Below are 12298 nucleotides of genomic sequence, written 5' to 3' on the forward strand. Positions count from 1 at the left end.
AACAAGAGAACGTTCTTGCTATTGGAAGTGACGTTGAAAGTCATGCTTTAGAGGGGTTGATCTTGCAACAGGGTTAAGCAGTGGTTTAAAGCAGTGCTTTTTAGCTGGGTATTTGTAACATAATCTTTGAAAATTAACCCAAATCAACAAATCCATATCTGGGGCCTATCTAGACTGGGAGAGTCTAGACTCCTTTGTTTTTCAAAAGGCCCCCGTGTCATTCTGTTTCATACAACTCTGTTTAAGGACTATTGGATCAAAGACTAAAAGCCCAAAGAACAGTCCAGCTATTGCAAGTATCCTAGGTATGTGGTAGTAAGGACATGGATTGAGGTAATATCAGTGGGAATGAGAGGAAGGGAGGGATAGAATAAAGCAACTTTATATCTTAGAAGTTTCCATATGGTATTTTGTGAATAATGTTGGTAATAATACAAGGTTTCAAAGAGTAGTGACAAAGATGACTCCAACATTTATGGTATCGGGGCCTGGGAGAATACTGTTGATAGGGAAGATTGGCAGAGATTGCTAGTTTAGGGGAGAAGATAATGGTTTTTTGGACATGAGGAGAGTTAAGATGATGGCTGTATTTCAGAGGGAACTCGGGGAGGTTGCAATGTGTTTTATGTCTTGCTTTTTCTGAATGTGTCATTCATTCTCTTGGCATAGTACTCAACTAGTGAATATAAGTCATGCTCCATTGATTGGGAAGGTTAATAAATGCTAAGTTTTCATTTGATACATGTGATCATAAAAATATTTGATATTTAAATAAAGAACCATCAGTTTAAAATAAAATGGCAAACAGACTAGAAAAAACATTGTAGCAAATAGAAAAAGATTAATATAAAAATATGTAAACATTTAAAAAACAAAAAAATCAGTAAACTAGGCAAAGGACTTAAACAGATAATTCTCACAACTGGGAAATGTATGTCATTCATTTCATCAACATTTACTGAGCTCTTATGTCAGGTACTGTTGTAAGTGCTAGCAAACGAGACAGGAGATCTCTGAGCATTCTGGTGGTAGAGTGAGAGACAGACAGTGTGAGAGATGGACAATAGACATGCTCCAGAAAACAAGAATTTCAAATAGCGATGATGCTATTAAGAAAATTAGGGGCCAGACAGCCGGGTGCGGTGGCTCATGCCTGTAATCCCAGCACTTTGGGAGGCTGAGGCGGGTGGATCACGAGGTCAGGAGATCGAGACCATCCTGGCTAACATGGTGAAACCCCATCTCTACTAAAAAAAAAATACAAAAAATTAGCCAGGCGTGGTGGCAGGCGCCTGTAGCCCCAGCTACTCAGGAGGCTGAGGCAGGAGAATGGCGTGAACCTGGGAGGCGGAGTTTGCAGTGAGCCGAGATCGCGCCACTGCACTCCATCCAGCCTCCTGGGTGATGGAGTGAGACTCCGTCTCAAAAAAAAAAAAAAAAAAAAAAAAAAAAGAAAAGAAAATTAGGGGCCAGACGTGGTGGCTCACACCTATAATCCCAGCACTTTGGGAGGCTGAGTCAGGAGTTTGAGAACAGACTGGGCAACATAACAAGACTTTGTCTCTACAAATAAAATAAAATATTAGTTGGGTGTGTTGGTGTGTGCCTGTAGTCGCAGCTGTTTTGGAGGCTGAGGTGGGAGGATCACTTGAGCCCAGGAGTTCAAGGTTACAGTGAGCTATGATTGTGCCACTGTACAGTAGCCTGGACGGGTAGGGCATTGAGGTAGAGAGTGACTTTGGTTTTTATGTTATTTATTTATCCTGTTCTCGGGAACACATCGGTTATGGTGTTGTGTAGTTGGAGGTTAGCATTCCTAATTATCTGGAAAAAATATTGGTCAGATTTAAGTTCTGTTGTGGTTCCTGATAATTGGATTCGTAATTACTTTTCTTTTTTAGATTTTTCCTTTGTTTGGTTATTCTTGAAAAAGATTTTATATTGGATAGAGTGTAGAGTTTTTCCTAACTAGAAAAATTGGTTGTTTTTTTTTTCTTTCTTTTTTTTTTTGAGACGGAGTCTCACTCTGTGACCCAGGCTGGAGTGCAGTGGTGCGATCTCAGCTCACTGCAACCTCCACCTCCTGGGTTCAAGTGATTCTCCTGCCTCAGCCTCCTGAATAGCTGGGATTACAGGTGTGTGCCACCACACCTGGTTAATTTTTGTATTTTTAATAGAGACGGGGTTTCACCGTGTTGGCTAGGCTGGTCTTGATCTCCTGACCTCAAGTGATCCACCCATCTCGGCCTCCCAAAGTGCTGGGATTACAGGCGTGAGCCACCGCACGCGGCCGGTTGTTTCTTACAGAAGTTACTTACTTGGATTCTTTTCACACAGTAGTGTTGGCTTTGTTCTGTTGGGAGGGAAACTATTCCTCTAAAAAATGTTCACATTTTTCCTATTACTTCATTCAGTAGTGAAATGTAATGATTTGACTCTGCCATGAGTCAGTGGCATATCTGAGGGATCTTTGAAGTTAAAGGAAATTGGCCAGGCGCAGTGACTCACGCTTATAATCCCAGCACTTTGGGAGACCGAGGCAGGTGAATCTGAGGTGAGGAGTTCGAGACCAGCCTGGTTGACATGGTGAAACCCCGTCTCTACTAAAAATACAAAAATTAGCTGGGCGTGGTGGCGTACGCCAGTAATCCCAGGTACTCAGGAGGCTGAGGCAGGAGAATTGTTGAATCCGGGAGGCAGAGGTTGCAGTGAGCCGAGGTCGTGCCATTGCACTCCAGCCTGGGCGACAAGAGCAAAACTCCGTCTTAAAAAAACACAAAACAAAAGAAAACCCAGAAGTTAAAGGAAATCACTGTATAGTTAAACGAATTGACTAGAAAGTGTCTTTGTCCTTTGCTATTTAATTACACAATATATATACATCATGTAACCAAATGTTTCAAACTATAATTAATGTATGGAGAGTTCAGTGCCCTTTTTTTTTTTTTTTTTTTTTTTGTGAGATGGTGTCTTGCTTTGTTGCCCAGGCTGGAGGGCAGTGGTGGGATCTCAGGTTCATTGCAGCCTCCACCTCCTGGGTTCAAGCAATTCTCCTGCCTCAGCCTCCCTAGTAGCGGGGATCACAGGCGCATACCACCATGCCTGGCTAATTTTTGTATTTTTAGTAAAGATGGGGTTTTACCATGTTGGCCAGGCTGGTCTCGAACTCCTGACCTCAAGTGATCCGCCCAACTTGACTTCCCAAAGTGCTGGGATTACAGGCATGAGCCACCATGCCTGGCCCAATGCACTTCTTTAAAGAGAAGTAGTAAGTGGTTTGCACGTGGAAAGTTATCTGTTTAAGGAACTTCTTTAGCCAATAAACATTTTGTGTTTTTCATTTATTATTGAAGATCGATCCAGAAACACACACAGAGAGAGAGATACCTGTTACTTTGTAGTTACGTTTTTTATTAATAAATAGGGACTTTTTAGGTATAAGAAGGAGATAATAGAAAGGGAAAACAAATTTTAGTCTTTAATTTTCTATTTAATAATTTACTGTTGGGAATATAAGATTTGTCGGGGAGGCCAGGCACAGTGGTGTGTGCCTGTAGTCTGAGCTACTTGGGAGACTGAGGCAGGAGGATCACTTGAACCCTGGAGTTCAAAACCAACATAACAAGACCCCATCTCTTAAAAAACAAAACAAAACAAAACAAAAGATTTGCACGGGAGAAAAGGGATGAATATCGTTTTTATAAATGGAAACAGAAATAGAACTAAGATAGTAGTTCTTATGCTTAAGTTAGCCAGTTCTTGCTTTAATTCTGACTACCTCATATGGAATTTTTTTCTTTTCAAAGGAAACTTGGCTGTAACTTCAAAAGAAGATTTGATTCTTTATTTCTGGACTGCATATATATATATAACAAGGCCATTAAAATGTCGGGAGCCTCAGTGAAGGTGGCTGTCCGGGTAAGGCCCTTCAATTCTCGAGAGACCAGCAAGGAATCCAAATGCATCATTCAGATGCAAGGCAACTCGACCAGTGAGTACATGTTGTTTTCTCTCAGCTGTGTATCTTACTTTCCTTTCTTCTTTCCCTGTCGTCTTGCTGTGTTCAGAATAGATGAACATCTGTATGTTAACACTTTGAACTTTGCTATTCTGAATGATCCATTGAATGTATTCCCCTCTGTGGTATTTGCTATAGTATATTTAAATATGGACTATTTATTTTACCCTGTACAATTGAGAAACCCTGAATAACTGAACTAATTTAGCAAGTGTTTATGCTTATTAAGTTGAAATTTTAATGATAATAAAGGTATAAACAGTGCTTTTTGCCAAGTCCTAATGTGAAATATACCTATCGAGGCTGCAAGATTCATTGTTTTTCTTTCTAGATTTTAAATAATACTTGATTTTGCCAAGATGATCTTAGAACTTTTCAGTGATTCTTTGAGTTGAACAATGGATATAATATATAGTAAACTTATACATTATTACTAAAGTTATCAGTAATTGCTTCATAGTTTGTTTCTCTATAGAATTGCTTAGGTGAAAAATGACTTAAGTTGTTTCTTTTATACCTGCATTACCAAATTTCTTGATATGGTTCCATAGGCAAATTATCAATTAAAATAGAGGTAGGCTCTACTGTCTTTAAATCTGTAATTTTGTGATACCAGAAGAATCGTCACCCTTTCAGGCACAAGTTACTGCTGAAGTACACATTCTAACCTCATTAGCTTGTGCTCCATTTGCCAATGTTCTGTGTAGAGGAGTCTACTGGTGGAAATGTTTGTTCCACCAAAATCTAGCTAGATATTGCAGCCCACATTTCAGGTAGTTCACATACAACTTTGAATGCTCCACTGCTTATACTCTTCTCTGAACTTGACAGATAAGGGCTTGCAACAATCTTTTTTTAAAAAAACATTTGAAGGCCGGGTGTGGTGGCTAATGCCTGTAATCCCAGCACTTTGGGAGGCTAGGGCAGGAGGATTACTTGAGTCCAGGAGTTGAGGCTGCAGTGAGCTGTATTCATGTCACTGCACTCCAGACTTGGCAATAGAGCAAGACCCTGCTTCAAAAAAAGGGTCTGTTTTTGAGACCCCGTATATATATTTAAAAAAATTTAAAAGTAGAAGGCTAAACAGCTGTACCATTGTAGTTCACTCTTCTATGTCAACATTGCCAACAGTTCTGTGAATTATATCGTATGAAAAATTGTCAAAGAAAAAGAGATGCAAAAGTCAACATTGAATTGAATACTTTAAATCGGTGAACTTTATGGTATATAAATTGTATCTCAATAAAGCTTTTTTTTTTTTTTCTTTTTTGAGATGGAGTCTCACTCTGTCACCCAGGCTGGAGTGCAGTGGCATGATCTCAGGTGCCTGCCACCACACCCGGCTACTTTTTGTATTTTTAGTAGAGACAGGGTTTCACCATGTTGGCCAGGCTGGTCTCAAACTCCTGACCTCAGGTGATCCACCCGCCTCGGCCTCGCAAAGTGCTGGGATTACAGGCGTGAACCACCGCGCCTGGCCAAGTTTTGGTTTCCTCAACTATAAACTGGAGGTAATATTACATATTTTACTTATATATATGGCTACCAAAGAGGGTTGTTTTCAGCACAATGCTGAATTCCTAGTGGCTTTTCCACCATAATTTGTCCAAAACCTTTCTAGGGAATAGGCCGAGTGGCTCTGCTTTGCCTTGAGTATCCTTTCCATCCCTTCTATCGGATTTGCAAGTTTGCTGTAATGTTAGGCTGTAGGGATCACAGAGTTATACCATGGGACCCTGCCCTTAAGGAACTTTTTTTTTTTTTGAGATAGAATCTCACTCTGTCATCCAGGCTGGAGTGCAGTGGTGTGATCTCGGCTCACTGTAACCTCTGTCTCCTGGGTTCAAGCGATTCTCCTGCCTCAGCATCTTGAGTAGCTGGGATTACAGGCACCCACCACTATGCCTGGCTAATTTTTGTGTTTTTAGTAGAGATGGAGTTTCACCATATTGGCCAGCCTCATCGCAAACTCCTGACTTCAAGTGATCCACCTGCCTTGGCCTCCCAGAGTGCTGGGATTATAGGCATGAGCTGCCGCGCCTGGCTGTTTTTTTTGTTTGTTTTTTCTTTTTTTTTTTGAGACAGGGTCTCTCTCTGTCACGCAGGCTGGAGTGCAGTGGTGCAATCATGGCTTACTGCAGCCTTGACCTTCCAGGCTCAATCAATCCTCCTGTCTCAGCCTCCCAAGTAGCCGGGGCTACAGGCATGTGCCACTATGCCTGGCTAGTTTTTTTCTATTTTCTGTAGAGACGGGGACTCACTATATTGTGTAGGCTGGTCTTGTATTCCTGGGCTCGAGTGATCCTTGCCTTGGCCTCCCAAAGTGTTGGGATTGCAGGTATGAGCCACTGTACCCAGCCTCCCTTAAAGAGTTTTTAAAGTTTATGGTTGGAGAGACTAGACATACTAAAATAATTTCTTTTCTTTTTCTTTTTTTTTTTTGAGACGGAGTCTTGCTCTGTCACCCAGGCTGAAGTGCAGTGGCTGGTCTCCCACTCCTGATCTGAAACCTCTGCCTCTCGGGTTCAAGCGATTCTTCTGCCTCAGCCTCCTGAGTAGCTGGAACTACAGGCACCTGTCACCACACCTGGCTAATTTTTGTATTTTTAGTAGAGATGGGGTTTCACCATGTTGGCCAGGCTGGTCTTGAACTCCTGACCTCAGGTCATCCGCCTGCCTCAGCCTCCCAAAGTGCTGGGATTACAGGCGTGATCCACCGTGCTCGGCCAAAATAATTTCAATACAGGATAAAAAGTGATCGAAGTGTTAATTACCGTAACAAAGGATTATTATTTTATTTTATTTTTTGAAACAGGATCTCACTCTTGTTACCCAGGCTGGAGTACAGTGGCACCATCTCAGCTCACTGCAACTTCCGCCTCCTGGGCTCAAGTGATCCTCCCACCTCAGCCTCCCTAGTAGTTGGGACCACAGGTGCACAGCACTATGCCCAGCAAATTTTTGTAGTTTTAGTAGAGATGGGGTCTCACCATGTTGCCCAGGCTGGTCTCCTACTCCTGAGCTCAAGCAGTCCACCTGCCTTGGCCTCCCAGAGTGCTGGGATTATGGGCATGAGCTGCTGCACCCAGCCAAAAAAAAGGATTATTAAAAAGTATAGGCCAGGTGCAGTGGCTCATGCCTGTAATCCCTGCACTTTGGGAGGCCGAGGTGGGTGGATCACCTGAGGTCAGGAGTTCAAGACCAGCCTGACCAACATGATGAAACCTCGTCTCTACTAAAAATACAAAAAATTAGCTGGGCGTGGTGGAGTGTGCCTGTAATCTCAGCTACTCAGGAGGCTGAGGCAGGAGAATCACTTGAACCCGGGAGGTGGAGGTTGCAGTGAGCCAAGATCACACCACTGCACTCCGGCCTGGGCAACAAGACCAAAACACTGTCTCAAAAAAAAAAAAAAAAAAAAAGCATAAATGAGAGTTTGGCAGAAAGCAAATATAAGGATTTATTGATGATATTCCATTTAAGCTGGACCTTGGGATGTAAGATTTAAACTAAACATATAGTATATTTGGGCCGGGCACGGTGGCTCAAGCCTCTAATCCCAGCACTTTGGGAGGCTGACGCGGATGGATCACGAGGTCAGAAGTTTTGAGACCAGCCTGGCCAATATGGTGAAACCCCATCTCTACTAAAAATACAAAAATTAGCCGGACGTGGTGATGCGCGCCTGTAGTCCCAGCTACTCAGGAGGCTGAGGCAGAAGAATCGCTTAAACCCTGGAAGCGGAGGTTGCAGTGAGCTGAGATCATGCCACTGCACTCCAGCCTGAGTGGCAGAGCAAGACTCCATCCCAAAACAACAACAACAACAACAACAACAACAACAAAAACCCATATAGTATATTTGGGAAAATTTTCAGAATTGTAGCTTATTACAGCTTATTAGTGGCAGTGTTAGGACTAGATAATGGTACTCCTACCCTCAGCTGATTATAACACATTGTTTCCCTGCATGTACAATTTCGGCAGGAGTAATTTGTGACTTTTAAATTAGCATTAGTCTACTGAAACAGAAATCCTCAGTAGGTTAATCAGCCTTGCAAAAATGCGGGTTAGTTTTCTAGCTAAATACTTTGTCCTGGCTCAGAGATTTACAGTCAGTTTGGTTCCTTTGAAAGGTATCTGTTCTTGGAAGGCAATTAATCATATGAGAACCATTATATCTATTGTATGAGGAACTTTTTTCTGTAGAATATTTGCATTTTCCATGTTCTACTTGTTTTCTGTTTCTGTTTTCAGCCTTCTATGGCAATTTCTTAGTAATTTGACTAATATGTATGCCAAGTAATTTTTAAGTGAGAGATTTTTAACATTTGTATGAAAGATGATATTTTAGAAAGTATTATTGGCTTGTTTTTTTTTTTTTAAACACCATTGGGCTTAGAATGGAAGTGGGCATGCATTTTGAACATAGACTTGTTGGAAATGAATATGCTGTACACATGTGTTAGCTGCATTAAAAAGGCTGCTTTGCTGGCAAGCTGGCCTGGACTGTTGCTCACAAGGATTATAACTGATTGCAGATGGAATGCACTAGAATGTTTCTGCCATAAACTCTCTTATGAAAAAGTAGAAGAGTATGAAGAGTACTTTAGGGAATGTGCTAAATCTGAAAACTGAGAAGTAGCTATTTTATTTAAGCACTTTCTGGTCTTGGAGGAAATATTCTCCATGGCACAAATAAATGTTACTGTCTTGACATTTTGGAGTCCCAAGCACATGCAAATGGCTCTGTTCAATAATATCCCATTATATTCCAAGGTTCTCCCACTTGAGAAGCATTTCTTATTGTCTAATTACTTGGTAAAAAGGGAAATGAGCCAAAGTGAATGATCTAACCGCTTACATTTATGGTTAGGTTATTTGTGTAAACCTGGAGACATTAAACCTGTATAAATGCACTCAAAAACAGGAAGTAGATAAAATTGGTTTTCACTTATAATATGAGGTACACTCCATCAAGTGACTGAACTGTGATATTTTACTTTATTTTTACCCACAAATTGTCTCTTGCCCTTTGGTGAATTTTGTTCATATATTTAACAACCTTCCTTTGCCAGGACCTTTTTTTTCCCCAGTGCCCAATCTTGGTTGGGATAGAAGTAGCCCTGACTTTTTTTTCCTGTTTATTACTCATATTATATGTCTTATAGGCTTTTTCATTCACGCATACATTTCTAAACCAAATGCCGCACAGCGTAACTGATACAAATAATGATTTCATGTCCACTATTGAAAATTTGGGGGGTGGGTGCAGTGACTCAATGCCTGTAATCCCAGTACTTTGGGAGGCTGAGGCAGGCAGAGTGCTTGAGTCCAGGAGTTTGAGACCAGCCTGGGCAACATGGCGAAACCCTGTCTCTACAAAAAATACAAAAAAGCTAGCTGGGTGTGGTGGTGTGCACCTGTAGTCGTAGCTACTAGGGAGGCTGAGGTGGGAGTATCACTTGAGCCCTGGAGGTCAAGGCTGCGGTGAGCCGTGATCACGCCACTGCGCTCTAGCCTGGGCAATGGAGTGAGACACTGTTTCAGGAAAAAAGAAAGAAAGAAAGAAAATTTGGGATGGAGGAAGGGCAAAATGGAGATTTGGAAAGGAAGAGTTTAGAAAGTAATGCATTTAGGCTGGACACAGTGGCTCACGCCTATAATCCTAGCACTTTGGGAGGCCAAGTTGGGTGGGTCACCTCAGGTCAGGATTTAGAGACCAGCCTGGGCAACATGGTGAAGTCTCATCTGTACTAAAAATACAAAAATTAGCCAGGTGTGGTGGTGGGCACCTGTAATCCCAGCTAATGGGGAGGCTGAGGCAGGAGAATAACTTGAATCTGGGAGACGGAGGTTGCAGTGAACTGAGATGGAGCCGTTGCACTCCATCCTGGGCGACAAGAGCAAAACTTTGTCTCAAAAAAAAAAAAAAAAAAAATACAGAAAGTAATGCATTTAGGCCAGGTGTGATGACTCATACCTGTAATCTCAGCACTTTGGGAGCCTGAGATGCGCAGATTGCTTGAGCTCAGGAGTTCGAGACCAGCCTGGGCAACATGGCAAAACCCTGTCTCTACCAAAAATACAAAAAATTAGCTGAGCATGGTGGTGCGCGCCTGTGGTTGCAGCTACTCCAGAGCTTGAGGTGGGAAGATTTCTTGAGCCTGGGAGGTGGAGGTTGCAGTGAGGGAAGCTTGTGTCGCTGCACTCCAGCCTGGGTGAGACATTGAGACCCCATCCAAAAACAACAACAACAACAACAACAACAACAACAAAAAACACCAAAAGAAAGTAATGCATTTAAATTTGTATACTTTTTTTAGTATAAATTACTATAACCACATGAAAATAAATGTAAATGCATGTAAATTATGAACATTGTGAATAATAAACGAGAAAGAAAAGTCATCTGTATTCTTACCTCCTTAACCACAGCATACTGCTGCTTTTGATGGATTTTTTTGGTACTTTTTTCTTTCAGTTTTTTTGTTTTTGGTTTTTTTGAGACAGGGTCTCACTCTGTCACCCATGCTGGAGTGCCGTGGTGCAATCTTGGCTCACTGTAGCTTCCCCCTCCCTGGCTGAAGCAGTGCTCCCACCTCAGCCTCTCCAGTAGCTGGGACCACAGTCCTGTGCCACCACACCTGGCTAATTTTCGTATTTTTTGTAGAGAGAGTTTCTACAAAAAACCATGTTGCCCATGCTGGTCCCAACTCTTGGGCTCAAGTGATCTGCCCGTTCTTTCAGTTTTGATGAATACAGACACAAGCAAAATTATTTCCAATGTCACCACGCAGAGAGAACTACCATTAACATCTGGATCTGTATTCCTCTAATCTTTTCCTTGCATTTTACACATATTAAGATTTTTATGTAATTGGATTATATGTACTGTTTTTTGGTTTGCTTTTTTTATTTTCTGATTTTTCTATTCTATTGCTGCTGAACAAATTATTTTCTAATATTTTTAATGTTACTATTTTTCTATACAACTTTTGAAATTTTGTAATATGGGTATATTACAACTAGTTTTGTTGGTTTTTTTAAAAGTGTAATTATATGCTTTAATATTCAGGACCAATGTTGGAACACAAATGTGTTCCTAGATATTGAACCGTTTTCATTTTTATTTTTTATTTTATTTTATTATTATTATTTTTTTGAGACGGAGTCTTGCTCTGTAGCCCAGGCTGGAGTGCAGTGGCACAGTCTCGGCTCACTGCAACCTCTGCCTCCCGGCTTCAAGGGATTCTCCTGCCTCAGACTCCAGAGTAGTGAAGACTACAGGCGCCCACCACCATGCCTGGCTAATTTTTTTTTGAGATGGAGTCTTGCTCTGTCACCCAGGCTGGAGTGCAGTGGCGCAATCTTGGCTCACTGCAAGCTCTGCCTCCTGGGTTCATGCCATTCTCCTGCCTCAGCCTCCCGAGTAGCTGGGACTACAAGCACCCGCCACCATGCCTGGCTAATTTTTTTGTATTTTTAGTAGAGATGGGGTTTCACCGTGTTAGCCAAGATGGTCTTGGTCTCCTGACCTCGTGATCAGCCTGCCTCGGCCTCCCAAAGTGTTGGGATTACAGGCATAAGCCACCATGCCTAGCTGCTAATTTTTGTATTTTTGGCAGAGACAGGGTTTCCCCGTATTGGCCAGGCTGGTCTTGAACTCCTGACCTCGTGATCCGCCCGCCTCAGCCTCCCAAAGTGCTGGGATTATAGGCGTGAGCCACCACACCCTGCCAAACCTTATTTATTTATTTATTTATGAGGCGGAGTCTCACTTTGTTGCCCAGGCTGGAGTGCAGTGGTGCGATCTGAGCTCACTGCAACCTCTGCCTCCCAGGTTCAAGTGATTCTCCTGCCTCAGCCTCCCAAGTAGCTGGGACTACAGGTGGGTGCCACCATACCTGGCTAATTTTGTATGTTTAGTAGAGGTGGGGTTTCACCATGTTGGCCAGTCTGGTCTCAAACTCCTGACCTCAAGTAATCCACCTGTCTTGTCCTCCCAAAGTGCTGGGATTAAAGCCATGAGCCACCACACCCGGCCTGAACCATTTTTAATTCCATAGTGATCTAGAAGTGCCATCGTAAATAGCACTCAGAGTGCAGAAAGGGGATTGCATAGAGTTGGATGGCTAGAAGATGTTATGGAAATTACCTTAAATATTGTTTTCTTCTTGTGATATATCCATTACTTTCAATAACATGAAAAATCAATATAAAAATGGATTGAATGGATTTAAGAATTTATGGGTAGTTCATTTTTTTTTTTTTTTTTTTT

The 12298-nt window shown here is 42.0% G+C and overlaps 1 protein-coding gene across 5 annotated transcripts in view, besides 1 other annotated feature; it reads left to right on the forward strand.

Moving 5' to 3' along the window:
- KIF1B (kinesin family member 1B) overlaps positions 1-12298 on the forward strand; it is a 171034-nt gene that overhangs the window by 17874 nt on the left and 140862 nt on the right. For 4 of the 5 annotated variants that reach the window (NM_001365951.3, NM_183416.4, NM_015074.3 and 1 more), the window contains exon 2: positions 3807-3991. In NM_001365951.3, coding sequence (NP_001352880.1) covers positions 3886-3991 — 106 coding nt within the window. In that variant the 5' untranslated portion in view covers positions 3807-3885. Of the gene's footprint in view, positions 1-2320; positions 2555-3806; positions 3992-12298 lie in introns of those variants that run through there. The other variant, NM_001365953.1, reaches the window with a different exon arrangement.
- Positions 3855-4055: a silencer, noted in NCBI's record as "peak64 fragment used in MPRA reporter construct". NCBI's record gives its function as "represses an SCP1 promoter by STARR-seq MPRAs in K562 erythroleukemia cells {active_cell/tissue: K562}" and the evidence as "EXISTENCE:reporter gene assay evidence [ECO:0000049][PMID:32103011]".

Source organism: Homo sapiens, chromosome 1 (assembly GCF_000001405.40).
Source record: "Homo sapiens chromosome 1, GRCh38.p14 Primary Assembly".
NCBI lineage: Eukaryota > Metazoa > Chordata > Mammalia > Primates > Hominidae > Homo > Homo sapiens.